Source organism: Homo sapiens, chromosome 11 (genome assembly GCF_000001405.40).
Source record: "Homo sapiens chromosome 11, GRCh38.p14 Primary Assembly".
Taxonomy (NCBI): domain Eukaryota; kingdom Metazoa; phylum Chordata; class Mammalia; order Primates; family Hominidae; genus Homo; species Homo sapiens.
In genome coordinates, this window is record NC_000011.10 from 63,357,855 (window position 1) to 63,372,683 (window position 14,829).

The 14,829-nt window shown below is 39.7% G+C and overlaps 2 protein-coding genes across 4 annotated transcripts in view; both read left to right on the top strand.

Annotated features, from left to right (window-relative positions):
* Nucleotides 1–5,290, top strand: part of SLC22A10 (solute carrier family 22 member 10 (gene/pseudogene)) — a 73,242-nt gene extending 67,952 nt beyond the window's left edge. Inside the window, exons 10-11 of the transcript XR_007062480.1 lie at nucleotides 4,526–4,649; nucleotides 5,203–5,290. The gene's annotated coding sequence lies outside the window, so the exon portion shown is untranslated. The remainder of the gene's footprint in view (nucleotides 1–4,525; nucleotides 4,650–5,202) is intronic.
* A 6,640-nt stretch (nucleotides 5,291–11,930) lies between these two features.
* SLC22A9 (solute carrier family 22 member 9) overlaps nucleotides 11,931–14,829 on the top strand; it is a 40,510-nt gene continuing 37,611 nt past the window's right edge. For 2 of the 3 annotated variants that reach the window (NM_080866.3, XM_017017159.3), the window contains exons 1-2: nucleotides 11,931–12,604; nucleotides 13,281–13,384. In NM_080866.3, the coding sequence (NP_543142.2) occupies nucleotides 12,203–12,604; nucleotides 13,281–13,384 (506 nt within the window). In that variant the 5' untranslated portion in view covers nucleotides 11,931–12,202. Of the gene's footprint in view, nucleotides 12,605–13,280; nucleotides 13,385–14,829 lie in introns of those variants that run through there. The other variant, XM_047426335.1, reaches the window with a different exon arrangement.

Here is a 14,829-nt window from a genome sequence, read left to right on the forward strand (position 1 = left end):
TCTTAATGAAGGTGTTTAGTGCTATAAATCTTAACACTGCTTTAGCTGCATCCCAAAGGTTTTGGAAAATTGTGTCTCTATTTTCATTAATTTCAAAGCATTTTTTAAATTTCTGTCTTAGCTTTGTTGTTTACCCAAGATTTATTCAGAAGCAAGTTGTTTAATTTCCATTTTTTTAATAGTTTTGAGATATCTTTTTGGTATTGATTTATATTTTTAGTGCACTATCGTCCAAGAGTGTGTTTTGTATGATTTCAACTTTTTAAAATTTATGGAGACTTGCTTTATGGTTGAGCATGTGGGCAATCTTAAAATATGTTCTGTGTGCTTATAAGAAGAATGTATATTCTGTGATTATTGGGTGGAGTTCTTTGCAGATGACTATTAGGTGCAATTTGGTCAAGTGTCAAGTTTTAGTCCAGAATTTCTTTGTTAGTTTTCTGCCTTGATGACTTGTCTAACACTGTCGGTGGGGTGTTGAAGTCCCCTACTATTATTGTGTGGCTGCCTAAATATTTTTGTAGGGCAAGAAAAACCTGTCTCATGAATCTTGATGCTCCTTTTTTGGATTTTTATAAATTTAGGATACTTAAGTCTTCTTTTTGCATTGAACTCTTTATCATTATGTACTGCCTGCCCTCCTTTGTCCTTTCTAATTACTGTTGGTTTAAAATCTGCTTTATCTGATATAAGAATAGAGATTCTTAATCTTTTTTGTTTTCCATTTGCCTGGATCTTTCTCCATTCCTTTACTTTGAGCCTGTGGTTATCATTACACATGAGATGCATCTCTTGAGGACAAATGACAGTTGTGTCTTGTCTTTTTATCCCACTTGCCACTCTATGCCTTTTAGGTGGGGCATTTAAACCATTCATATTTAAGGCTAGTATTGATATATGGGATTGTGATCCTGTTATCACATTGCTGGCTGTTTGCTTTGTAGACTTGATTGTGTGATTGTTTTATGTAGTCTGTACACTATGTTCTTGAGTGTATTTTTGAGGTAGTAAGTTTCAATCTTTTGTTTCCATGGTTAGCACCACCTTAAGGACATCTTGTAAGGGTGGTCTACTGGTAATGAATTCCCTTTATGCTTGCTTGTCTGAGAGGGATTTTGTTTCTCCTTTGCTTATGAAGCTTGGCTTGGTAGAATATGATATTCTTGGTTAGAATTTCTTTTCTTTAAAAATGCTGAAAATAATCCCTCAATCTCTTCTGGCTTGTAAGTTTTTTTCTGAGAGGTCTGCTGCTAGCCTGATGGGTTTCTCTTTGTAGGTGACCTGACCTTTCTGTCTAGCTGCCTAAATTTAAGATTTTTTTCTTTTGCATTGACAGTGAATCTGATGACTATGTTTCTTGGAGATGGTCATCTTATGTCATATCTCCAAAGAGTTCTCTGTATTTCCTGAAACTGTATGTCCTCTTCTCTAGCAAGAGTGAGGAAATTTATGGACTATATCATCACTATGTTTTCCAAGTTGCTTACTCTCTATCCTCTTTCAGGAATGCCAATGAGTTGTAGATTCGTTGTCTTTACATAATCTCATATTTCTTAGAGATTTTATTCCTTTTTAAAAAATCTTTTTCTTCATTTTTTTGGTCTCACTGAGATGATTCGATGAACCAATCTTCTAACTCTGAGATTCTTTCTTCAACTTAATGTATTCTGCTGTTGCTCCCTCTGTTTTTATTGTAAAATTATTGAAGTGAATTCTTCAATTACAGAAGTTCAGTTTGGTTCTTTCTTAAAATGGCTATTTCATCTTTCAGCTCCTGGATTATTTTACTATACTCCCTCGATTCCTTGGTTTAGGTTTCAACTTTCTGCTCAATCCCAGTGAACTTCCTTGCCATCCAGATTTTGAATTATATGTCTGTCATTTCAGTCATCTCAATCTGGCTAAGAACCATCCCTGGGAGCCTTGTGTGTTTCTTTGGAGGTAAGGGAGCACACTGGCTTTTTGAGTTGCCAGAGTTCTTACATTGATTCTGTCTCATGTCTGAGGGTTGGTGTGCCTTTAATTGTGATGTAAGTTGAGTATAGTCAGTTGGCTTCATTTCTAGGTGTTGTCAGAAGGCCAGGACTCTGTGCAGAATCTTTATTTGTGACTGGATCTTTGCATTAGTTTTGCAGGTGCTATATACTGGCACAATATTTTGGTGTTGTATTTTGGACTGCAATCCAGTTGGTGGCACTTAAGAGTGTTGACTAGCAGATAAGCTCTTAGTCAGACAGCTTTTTTGTATTTTGGTGCAGTTGGCAGTAGTGCTCTGTGGTGTGGGGGACAGGGATAACGCCCTCACCTGATCTACTCCTGGGTCTTGGAGGAGCCCTCTACATTCACTGGCTGCATGTCTGCATTTCCTTTGTTAGACTTCCTGGTCCACAGGGCTCCCTCAGGCAGAGGCCATGGTTGGCAGAGAGACCATACCCTTCTGGGTTTTTTAAATTATTATTATACTTTAGGTTCTAGGGTACATGTGCACAACGTGCAGATTTGTTACATATGTATGTATGTGCCATGTTGGTTTGCTGCACCCATCAAGTCGTCATTTACATTAGGTATTTCTCCTGATGCTATCCCTCCCCCATCCCTCCACTGCATGACAGGCCCTAGTGTGTGACGTTCCCCGCCCTGTGTCCAAGTGTTTTCATTGTTCAATTCCCACCTATGAGTGAGAACATGCAGTGTTTGGTTTTCTGTCCTTGTGATAGTTTGCTCAGAATGGTGGTTTCCAGCTTTATCCATGTCCCTACAAAGTACATGAACTCATCCCTTTTTTATGGCTGCATAGTATTCCATGGTGCATATGTGCCACATTTTCTTAATCCAGTCTATCACTGATGGACATTTGGGTGGGTTCCAAGTCTTTGCTATTGTGAATAGTGCCACAATAAACATACGTGTGCAAATGTCTTTATAGTAGCATGATTTATAATCCTTTGGGTATATATCCAGTAATGGGATCGCTGGGAGAGACCATACCTTTCTCAGTCCAGCCCTATGGAGGGAGTCACACCCTTCTCCTCCCAAGTGGCTCACCTCTCTCAGTGTTCTGAGAGTGAGGGCTCCTCACTGCTTGGGTCCTGCCTAAGCTGATATGTCCTGCTTGGCTAGAGCAGTGGGAGTGGGTGTAGTTGCCCAATCCACTGTCCAGGTGCTTCCCATAGGAACACAGAGCTGCACCTACTGGCAGAGTTCAGGCAGAGGTGGGTCCTCTGTGTTGGAATCCCCAACTGGTGCATCCTGCCCAGGTAGGAGGAGGGGGGGTTGGCATGGTGGCCCAATCCATTGTCTGGGTGCTTCCCTAGGGAATTCAGGGCTGCACTTGCCAGCAGAGTTCAGGCAGAAGAAGGTCTGCTGTGCTAGAAGCCCCAGCAAGCATGGCCTGTCTGGCTGTGAGCAAGCAGTGAAGTCACCTACCCTGCATCCAGATATTTCCTGGGGGAAAACAGGGCTGCAACCGCCCACAGAGTTCAGGAGAAGCAGGTCTGCTGTGCTGGAAGTCTGTCTAGTTACAAGCAAGCAGAAGGAGTGGGTGGAGTAGCCCACTCTGCCAGCCAGATGTTTCCCAGGGGAACATGGGGCTGCTCCTGCCTGCAGAGTTCAGGCAGAAGTGAAGCCACTGTGCTGGAAGATGTGCAGGGGATGATGGGGCGGTCTTACTGCTCCTGGGCACTGCATCTGTGGTGCCTACTGGGGCTATGGCAGTACTCTACTGTTTCAGGGTCCAAGGCTTTATAGAGGTCGCTATAAACTTGAGTTTGCCTCTGCAAAACCTGTGAACTTGAGTGTTGCCTCTGCAAAACCTCTGGATGTTTCTCTCTAACAGTCTAGAGGCCTTAGGGGGTAGGAGGATTTTCCCATTTCAAAGCTTTCAAAGGTCCCTGTGGAAGGTGTGAATCTTCCAGGGGTTCTCACTCACCCTTTCCCCATGGTGGGAAACTTGTCCTGGCTCCACACCAATCCAAGATGGGCTGCTGCCCATTTTCTCTCTTCTCTATTCTCTGTGTCCCCTTGCTACCATGATGGATCCTGTTGTGGATTCCTAGTTTATAGACTTGCAGGGTCAGTATTCACTACGCTCTTGGTCTCCTCTCCATGAAAGCAGCACACACTAGCCACTTTTAGTCTGCCTCTTTTGATCCCCTCCCTCAACAAATAATTTTTATATACATATGTTCAAAATATTCCATGGGATATAGTTTACTAAAGAATTATTTACTATTTGTTTGAATTCAAATTTAACTAGACACACTCTATTGTTATTTGCTAAAACCAGTAACCTCCCCTGAGCCAATATGACTCCTAGTCTGCATTCCCTGCAGTGAAGGTATACTGCATGGAAAGTCATCTTCATATTGACCCAGTAATGGCACAAGAGGATGTAAATTTATATTTCCAGGTATAACTGAACAAGTGCTGGGCATTAGATGAGAGAGGAAAGGCATCACAGTATAAAGGTTATGTGAAAAATGAGTAAGTGAGAGTTGACTGGACCTTCGTCCTCTTCTTTAATCAGGTGACTGGAAGCACCTGCTCAATGTCTGCTCATCAACAACAAACCAGAGGAGGGCTTAAAAGAACTCAGAAAAGCTGCATGCTGGAATAGAATGAAGAATGCTGGAGACACCCTAACCATGGAGGTGAGCAGGATGGGAGCTGGATATAGGATGTGAGGAAGACATAACTTGCATTCATACTATCTAGTGTCCAAGGTGCATAAAGCATGGGAACACAGGTCTGATATGGCTCTTCTTATCTCACCTCATTGTCCTGGTTCTCAAGGGGTGTTGCAATTGTTTGGCTTAGTGTTGAAAGAGAATATGTTGTTACTGAAAGAAATGGACACAGATACTTTACTTAGTAGAGACAGAGGGCACTTAGTATTCCTTCTGGCTTAATATTCTTTGGGCTTTTTTCCAGGGCATAAGCCAGCAGAAGGAAGGGTTAGTGACCATGCAGAATAGAACACCAAGAGGTTCACTTATTTGTTTATTCACTCACACACTCATTCATTCATGTATATTTTCTGAGTGCCCATGTGTGTCAGGTTCTGGTCTATCCCTGGAAATACCACAACAATCATAAAGGTCAAAATCCCTGTTGTATGGAGTGTAAATTCTATTATTACAAGATTTAAGGGCATGACTAAGTGGAAATACCTCAGAGAAAGATTTCTCTTTTTTTTACATACAGATAGAAAACACAGATATTCCAACTTACAAGGGACGTGAAGGACCTCTTCAAGGAGAACTACAAACCACTGCTCAATGAAATCAAAGAGGATATAAACAAATGGAAGAACATTCCATGCTCATGGGTAGGAAAAATCAATATCATGAAAATGGCCATACTGCCCAAGGTAATTTATAGATTCAATGCCATCCCCATCAAGCTACCAATGACTTTCTTCATACAATTGGAAAAAACTACTTCAAAGTTCACATGGCACCAAAAAAGGGCCCGCATCACCAAGTCAATCCTAAGGCAAAAGAACAAAGCTGGGGGCATCACGCTACCTGACTTCAAACTATACTACAAGGCTACAGTAACCAAAACAGCATGGTACTGGTATCAAAACAGAGATATAGCTGAATGGAACAGAACAGAGCCCTCAGAAATAATGCCACATACCTACAACTATCTGATCTTTGAAAAACCTGATAAAAACAAGCAATGGGGAAAGGATTCCCTATTTAATAAATGGTGCTAGGAAAACTGGCTAGCCATATGTAGAAAGCTGAAACTGGATCCCTTCCTCACACCTTATACAAAAATTAATTCAAGATGGATTAAAGACTTAAATAAACTGGATTAAGAAAATGTGGCACATATACACCATGGAATACTATGCAGCCATAAAAAATGATGAGTTCATGTCCTTTGTAGGGACATGGATGAAATTGGAAATCATCATTCTCAGTAAACTATCACAAGAACAGAAAACCAAACACCGCATATTCTCACTCATAGGTGGGAATTGAACAATGAGAACACATGGACACAGGAAGGGGAACATCACACTCTGGGGACTGTTGTGGGGTGGTGGGAGGGGGGAGGGATAGCATTAGGAGATATACCTAATGCTAGATGACGAGTTAGTGGGTGCAGTGCACCAGCATGGCACATGTATACATATGTAACTAACGTGTACATTGTGCACATGTACCCTAAAACTTAAAGTATAATAATAATAAATTAAAATAAAAAAAGATTAAGGGATTTGGTGAAGTAAATGGAAAAAAAAAGAGAAAACACAGATATTGCTGTGGATCATAAAGTAAACCATTTATCATATTATGCACATATTAAACTGTGTTGAAAAATTATAGTAGGCTAGGCATGAAGCTTGATCATGAATAACAGTATAAATCAGGGTCCCAGGTTTTAAGGAGCTTTTATCTTAATAAGAGAAAGTAAAAGTAATAGCTTCTTTAAATGTTTTATTCTGATCTAAATCAGTTAAAATGACACCTGCTCTCTTAACAAATGTTTAAGTGCACAATACAATATTGTTAACTATAAGTACAAGGTTGTACAGAAGGTCTCTACAATTTTTATCCTGTATCACTGAAACTCTATACCCATTGAACAGCAATTTCCCATTTCCCCCTACCTCCAGCTTCTGAAAACCACCATTAGGGATATTGGTCTAAAATTCTCTTTTTTTGTTGTGTCTCTGCCAGGCTTTGGTATCAGGATGATGCTGGCCTCATAAAATGAGTTAGGGAGAATTCCCTCTTTTTCTATTCATTGGAATAGTTTCAGAAGGAATGGTACCAGCTCCTCCTTGTACCTCTGGTAGAATTCAGCTGTGAATCCATCTGGTCCTGGACTTTTTTTGGTTGGTAAGCTGTTAATTATAGCCTCAATTTCAGAGCCTGTGTTTCGTCTATTCAGAGATTCAACTTCTTCCTGGTTTAGTCTGGGGAGGGTGTATGTGTCGAGGAATTTATCCATTTCTTCTAGATTTTCTAGTTTATTTGTGTACAGGTGTTTATAGTATTCTCTGATGGTAGTTTGTATTTCTGTGGGATTGGTGGTGATATCCCCTTTATCATTCTTTATTGTGTCTATTTGATTCTTCTCTTTTTTCTTCTTTATTAGTCTTGCTAGTGGTCTATCAATTTTGTTGATCTTTTCAAAAAACCAGCTCCTGGATTCATTGATTTTTTTGAAGGGTTTTTTGTGTCTCTATCTCCTTCAGTTCTGCTCTGATCTTAGTTATTTCTTGCCTTCTGCTAGCTTTTGAATGTGTTTGCTCTTGCTTTTCTAGTTCTTTTAATTGTGAAGTTAGGGTATAAATTTTAGATCTTTCCTGCTTTCTCTTGTGGGCATTTAGTGCTATAAATTTCCCTCTACACACTGCTTTCAATGTGTCCCACAGATTCTGGTATGTTGTGTCTTTGTTCTTGTTGGTTTCAAAGACCATCTTTATTTCTGCCTTCATTTTGTTATGTACCCAGTAGTTATTCAGGAGCAGGTTGTTCCGTTTCCATGTAGTTGAGTGGTTTTGAGTGAGTTTCTTAATCCTGAGTTCTAGTTTGATTGAACTGTGGCCTGAGAGACAGTTTGTTATAATTTCTGTTCTTTTACATTTGCTGAGGAGTGCTTTACTTCCAACTATGTGGTCAATTTTGGAATAAGTGCGGTGTGCTGCTGAGAAGAATGTATATTCTGTTGATTTGGGGTGGAGAGTTCTGTAGATGTCTATTAGGTCCACTTGGTGCAGAGCTGAGTTCAATTCCTGGATATCCTTGTTAACTTTCTGTCTCATTGATGTGTCTAGTGTTGACAGTGGGGTGTTAAAGTCTCCCATTATTATTGTGTGGGAGTCTAAGTCTCTTTCTAGGTCTGTAAGGACTTGCTTTATGAATCTGGGTCCTCCTGTATTGGGTGCATATATATTTAGGATAGTTAGCTCTTCTTGTTGAATTGATCCCTTTACCATTATGTAATGGCCTTCTTTGTCTCTTTTGATCTTTGTTGGTTTAAAGTCTGTTTTATCAGAGACTAGGATTGCAACCCCTGCCTTTTTTTGTTTTCCATTTGCTTGGTAGATCTTCCTCCATCCCTTTATTTTGAGCCTATGTGTGTCTCTGCATGTGAGATGGGTTTCCTGAATACAGCACGCTGATGGGTCTTGACTCTCTTGCAAAAATCCTCAATAAAATACTGGCAAACCGAATCCAGCAGCACATCAAAAAGCTTGTCCACCATGATCAAGTGGGCTTCATCCCTGGGATGCAAGGCTGGTTCAACATACGCAAATCAATAAACATAATCCAGCATATAAACAGAACCAAAGACAAAAACCACATGATTATCTCAATAGATGCAGAAAAGGCATTTGACAAAATTCAACAGCCCTACATGCTAAAAACTCTCAATAAATTACGTGTTGATGGGACATGTCTCAAAATAATAAGAGCTATCTGTGACAGACCCACAGCCAATATCATACTGAATGGGCAAAAACTGGAAGCATTCTCTTTGAAAACTGACACACGACAGGGATGCCCTCTCTCACCACTCCTATTCAACATAGTGTTGGAAGTTCTGGCCAGGGCAATCAGGCAGGAGAAGGAAATAAAGGGTATTCAATTAGGAAAAGAGGAAGTCAAATTGCCCTGTTTGCAGATGACATGATTTTATATCTAGAAAACCCCATCACCTCAGCCCAAAATCTTCTGAAGCTGATAAGCAACTTCAGCAAAGTCTCAGGATACAAAATCAATGTGCAAAAATCACAAGGATTCTTATACACCAATAACAGACAAACAGAGAGCCAAATCATGAGTGAACCCCCATTCACAATTGCTTCAAAGAGAATAAAATACTAGGAATCCAACTTACAAGGGATGTGGAGGACCTCTTCAAGGAGAACTACAAACCACTGCTCAATGAAATCAAAGAGGATACAAAGAAATGGAAGAACATTCCATGCTCATGGGTAGGAAAAATCAACATCGTGAAAATGGCCATACTGCCCAAGGTAATTTACAGATTCCATGCCATCCCCATCAGGCTACCAATGCCTTTCTTCACACAATTGGAAAAAACTACTTTAAAGTTCATATGGAACCAAAAAGGAGCCCGCATTGCCAAGTCAATCCTAAGCCAAAAGAACAAAGCTGGAGGCAACACGTTACCTGACTTCAAACTATACTACAAGGCTACAGTAACCAAAACAGCATGGTACTGGTACCAAAACAGAGATATAGACCAATGGAACAGAACAGAGCCCTCAGAAATAATGCCACATATCTACAACTATCCGATCTTTGACAAACCTGACAAAAACAAGAAATGGGGAAAGGATTCCCTATTTAATAAACGGTGCTAGGAAAACTGGCTAGCCATATGTAGAAAGCTGAAACTGGATCCCTTCCTTACACCTTATACAAAAATCAATTCAAGATGGATTAAAGACTTACATGTCAGACCTAAAACCTTAAAAACCCTAGAAGAAAACCTAGGCAATACCATTCAGGACATACGCATGGGCAAGGACTTCATGTCTAAAACACCAAAAGCAATGGCAACAAAAGCCAAAATTGACAAATGGGATCTAATTAAACTAAAGAGCTTCTGCACAGCAAAAGAAATTACCATCAGAGTGAACAGGCAACCTACAGAATGGGAGAAAATTTTCACAACCTACTCATCTGACAAAGGGTTAATATCCAGAATCTACAATGAACTCAAACAAATTTACAAGAAAAAAACAAATAACCCCATCAACAAGTGGGTGAAGGATATGAACAGACACTTCTCAAAAGAAGACATTTATGCAGCCAAAAGACACATGAAAAAAATGCTCATCATCACTGGCCGTCAGAGAAATGCAAATCAAAACCACAGTGAGATACCATCTCACACCAGTTAGAATGGCCATCATTAAGAAGTCAGGAAACAATAGGTGCTGGAGAGGATGTGGAGAAATAGGAACACTTTTACACTGTTGGTGGGACTGTAAACTAGTTCAACCACTGTGGAAGTCAGTGTGGTGATTCCTCAGGGATCTAGAACTAGAAATACCATTTGTCCCAGCCATCCCATTACTGAATATATACCCAAAGGATTATAAATCATGTTGCTATAAAAACACATGCACATGTATGCTTATTGCAGCACTATTTACAATAGCAAAGACTTGGAACCAACCCAAATGTCCAACAATGATAGACTGGATTAAGAAAATGTGGCACATATACACCATGGAATACTATGCAGCCATAAAAAAGGATGAGTTCGTGTCATTTGTAGGGACATGGATGAAGCTGGAAACCATTATTCTCAGCAAACTATTGCAAGGACAAAAAACCAAACACCGCATGTTCTCACTCATAGGTTGGAATTGAACAATGAGAACACATGGACACAGGAAGGGGAACATCACACACCGGGGCCAGTTGTGGGGTGGGGAGACAGGGGAGGGATAGCATTAGGAGATATACCTAATGTTAAATGACGAATTAATGGGTGCAGCACACCAACATGGCACATGTATACATATGTAACTAATCTGCACGTTGTGCACATGTACCCTAAAACTTAAAGTATAATTTTAAAAAAAAGAAAATGTGGCACATATATACCATGGAATACTATGCAGCCATAAAAAATGATGAGTTCACATCCTTTGTAGGGACATGGATGAAGCTGGAAACCATCATTCTCAGCAACCTATCGCAAGGACAAAAAACCAAACACCACATGTTCTCACTCATAGGTGGGAATTGAACAATGAGAACACATGGACACAGGAAGGGGAACATCACACACCAGGGACTGTTGTTAGGTGGGGGTAGGGGGGAGGGATAGCATTAGGAGATATACCTAATGCTAAATGATGAGTTAATGGGTGCAGCACACCAATATGGCACATGTATACATATGTAACAAACCTGCACGTTGTGTACATGTACCCTAAAACTTGAAGTATAATTTAAAAAAAAGAAAAAGAAACATTATGTTAAATGAATTAAGCCAGATATACAAAGTCAAGTATTTTATGATTCAATGTATAAATCAAATGTCCACAATAGGCAAATCCTTAGAATCAGAAAGTAAATTAGCGGTTGCTAAGTGGGATGTGTGAATAAAAATGGAGAGTTACTGCTAATGGGTATGGTTTCCTATGTGGTGATTAAAATGCTCTGTAACGATATAGTAGTGATGATTGCACAACTCTTTGAATGATCAAAACACATTCAATTGTATACTTTAAAAGGGTAAATTGTATGGTAAATGAATTATACTTCAAGGAGGTTTAAATTTTAATAGAAATTTTAGTCCTAATCAAGGTGACATTTTCTCCCATATTTTGCCTCCAATTCTTCCACAGCACATAGTGCATCTCACATAATATTTATAATGTTGGAGTGCAATTGTTTATGTACTCTCTCTTACTTACTCAACTATAAGATCCTTGAACTTGTCACACACGTTACTTTAGGAACTAGCATGGAAAAGGTCTTCACAAATACTATCTGAAAAATCAATAAGCCAGTAAAAGTAAACCTCCATATGAGCTTACTCCTCTGCTTTTCATCACCATCTATTCTGTCCACATTTCAAGCAATGTATTTCCAGCATGAATTTGTGGTGTGATTTGACATGAAGGAGAACATCAGTCACCAAAATGAAAGGATTGTACCACAGTACCCTTATTTTAGTTTAACTTCGACTTTTTTAGATTAACTCTTAATCAAAAATTGGTACTTAACAAGGAAAAACTTGCCTTCTGTTGTTTTCAGAGAAGTAAAAAAAGCACCTCACCTTTGAGTCGCCAAAATTATGCTTCCTGGAATGACCGCATACCATGTAGCAGGTTTATTTTAGTTTGTTTACAGAAAAGTGTAGACCAAAGTCCAGTGCTGACTTTGGGAGCTACTAAAGACATGAAAAAGTAGAATTTTAAACACATTTCATTGTAAACGACTGGGAGTATCTGAGCAAATTATTTCTTACGTGACTTTAGAGAAAACGGCTACCTATCTGACCCCAAAACGACTTGAGGAAACTGTTTCCACGGTCCTGCTGCAGAGGGGAAGCACAGTCGTCAAGAAGAGAGTGGGGTCAGGATCAAAACACATTTAGTGTGACTTAGGGAAAGAAAACATTTTCCCTCTTTGAACCTCTCTGGATACAGTCATTTTGCCTCTACTTGAGGATCAACTGTTCAACCTCAATGGCCTTTCAGGACCTCCTGGGTCACGCTGGTGACCTGTGGAGATTCCAGATCCTTCAGACTGTTTTTCTCTCAATCTTTGCTGTTGCTACATACCTTCATTTTATGCTGGAGAACTTCACTGCATTCATACCTGGCCATCGCTGCTGGGTCCACATCCTGGACAATGACACTGTCTCTGACAATGACACTGGGGCCCTCAGCCAAGATGCACTCTTGAGAATCTCCATCCCACTGGACTCAAACATGAGGCCAGAGAAGTGTCGTCGCTTTGTTCATCCTCAGTGGCAGCTCCTTCACCTGAATGGGACCTTCCCCAACACAAGTGACGCAGACATGGAGCCCTGTGTGGATGGCTGGGTGTATGACAGAATCTCCTTCTCATCCACCATCGTGACTGAGGTAAGAGGCTCTGTTCTCGTCTCATGAGTATGTGACCTGGGTGTTTAGAATAACACAAGTAATAATCATGCTTCCAGCCTTCAGTCACATGTAGGTCCTTAGTCTTCATTCTTTCAGCAAATACTAATTGCTTCTTTATTAAATGTCTGACACCTACACATTTTGAGTAATGAATTCCAAAGTAGAAGGCATCCTGCTATTATAATGCTTTAAGTCACAGGGAGACCAAAGTTTAAACAAGCATTTATATATAATATGTTAAAATGTTCTGCTAGGTCAGTGATGCTCAGCCTGTCATTGCAAATTAGAAATATCTGGGAAATTGAGAAAAGCCTCCATGCCCAGAGTATACCCTAAAACAATCATATGAGAAGGTCTAAGAGGGAAATTTAGGTTTCTAAAAGTTTTTAAAGGTCTTCAAGTGATTGCACCATGTGGTCATGTTTGAGAACCATTTAGTATGAAATAAAAACCTATAGGTTTAGGAAAGTCTTCCAAGAGAAAGTTATGTTTAAGTTGAGACCTGAATAACAAAGGTCAGGTAATGCTGAGAAAGGAAGCCACAGAGGAAGTTAGAGACTTAATATTAGGAAACTTGCAGATCATGCTAAGAAGTTTTGATCAAGTTACACTGAGGGGTAATAAGCATTGATGTGCTGGCTTCCTTCTCTTCCAGTGGGATCTGGTATGTGACTCTCAATCACTGACTTCAGTGGCTAAATTTGTATTCATGGCTGGAATGATGGTGGGAGGCATCCTAGGCGGTCATTTATCAGACAGGTGAGTGTGTATGGAACACAGCTCTCTTTAAGGGCATTTTTTATCAACTTATGAAACATTATTTCATCTAGAATTACTTACTGCAAATTACATTCTCCTGAGGCTGCCCTGATCCCCAAACAGAAAAGGAAATTTTTAGTCCGTGTTTTGAGTGCTATTTTTAAAATTTGAGCTCTGTATGCAGGACACAGAAATGATATCTCCATGTGAACTGGGGGTGTTTCAAGACAGGTTTTAGAGAGAAGGTACCACAACATGTGGTTTAGAAATATGAGAAAGAGTTAACTAAGGGAATAGAAAGGAAGACGTTTCATCACATAGGATTCAGCCTTGGCCAGGAGTACCAGGTCCAGTCCTACCTGGACACTGTGAGCTGATAGCTTGTGCCCAGAGAATTGTCATTACATCATAGTTCCAAGTGTGATGAACACGCATTCCTCTAAAACCTGTAGGGTATATTTGAAGGTATCATTGGTGGTGTGTTGAAAAATTATGTGTAGAAACTTGATTATTGTCTTTGCAAAAACAGCTTTTTAGAACCATGTGAGGTAAGTAATCCAAGGATAATACTATCTCAGTCTGTGGTGTGAGAAGTTTGGGGTATTCACCTTGCTGTATGTCTCCTGACATGGCAGGGAACAATTACCTTCACCCAACCATGTCTCCCCTGATGGCGATGAGGGACTTGAAGTGCCACTTGCCATCCACCAACATCATGTCTTCTGGTGTCTCACCTGAAAATTTGAACCTTGAATGTACGACAGGAAATGGAATGTAGAATGAGCTAAGAGTCAGAGGGTTAATTTCCAATAGTTAGTCACCCAGTCCTCTGTGATACTGTCCTGGGAAAATGCAGATAGACCAATTTTAATAGATCACAGGGTGGTAAAAGAAGGGGTAGGAGATGCCAGGCAGGAGATGACAGTGGAGAATCAGCTAAAGACGAAGGGACAAGATAACCTAAGGATTTTGGTATTTCTCACAAACCTAAGAGGAAATATTATGTGATTATATGCAGAGTAGGCTATGATCAAACTGATTGTTTTGGAATAACTCACTCAACTGTTTATGATATCTTAAAATCGGAAATAATCTATAATTTCATTAATAATAGGTTAATAAATAAGCAGATATTCACATAATGAATTTTTACAGCAAAGGGAATGAATAAAGTACTGTCTGCAATAAGGTGAATTAACATCAAAACCATTTGGTTAGGTACCACAAGACCAACAAAAAGATTACATACTATAGTGTTCCACCAATGTAAAAGTCAAAAACAAGGAACTACATTATGATGTGAGAAAAGGGAGAAATCTAATTTCCTTTAGATTTCTATTGGAATTGCATTAAATCTAAACAGCAGTTTGGGTAAGACTGACATTTTTTAAATACTGAATTTTCTGATCTATAAATATAATATTGCTTTTAATTAAGGTAGACTT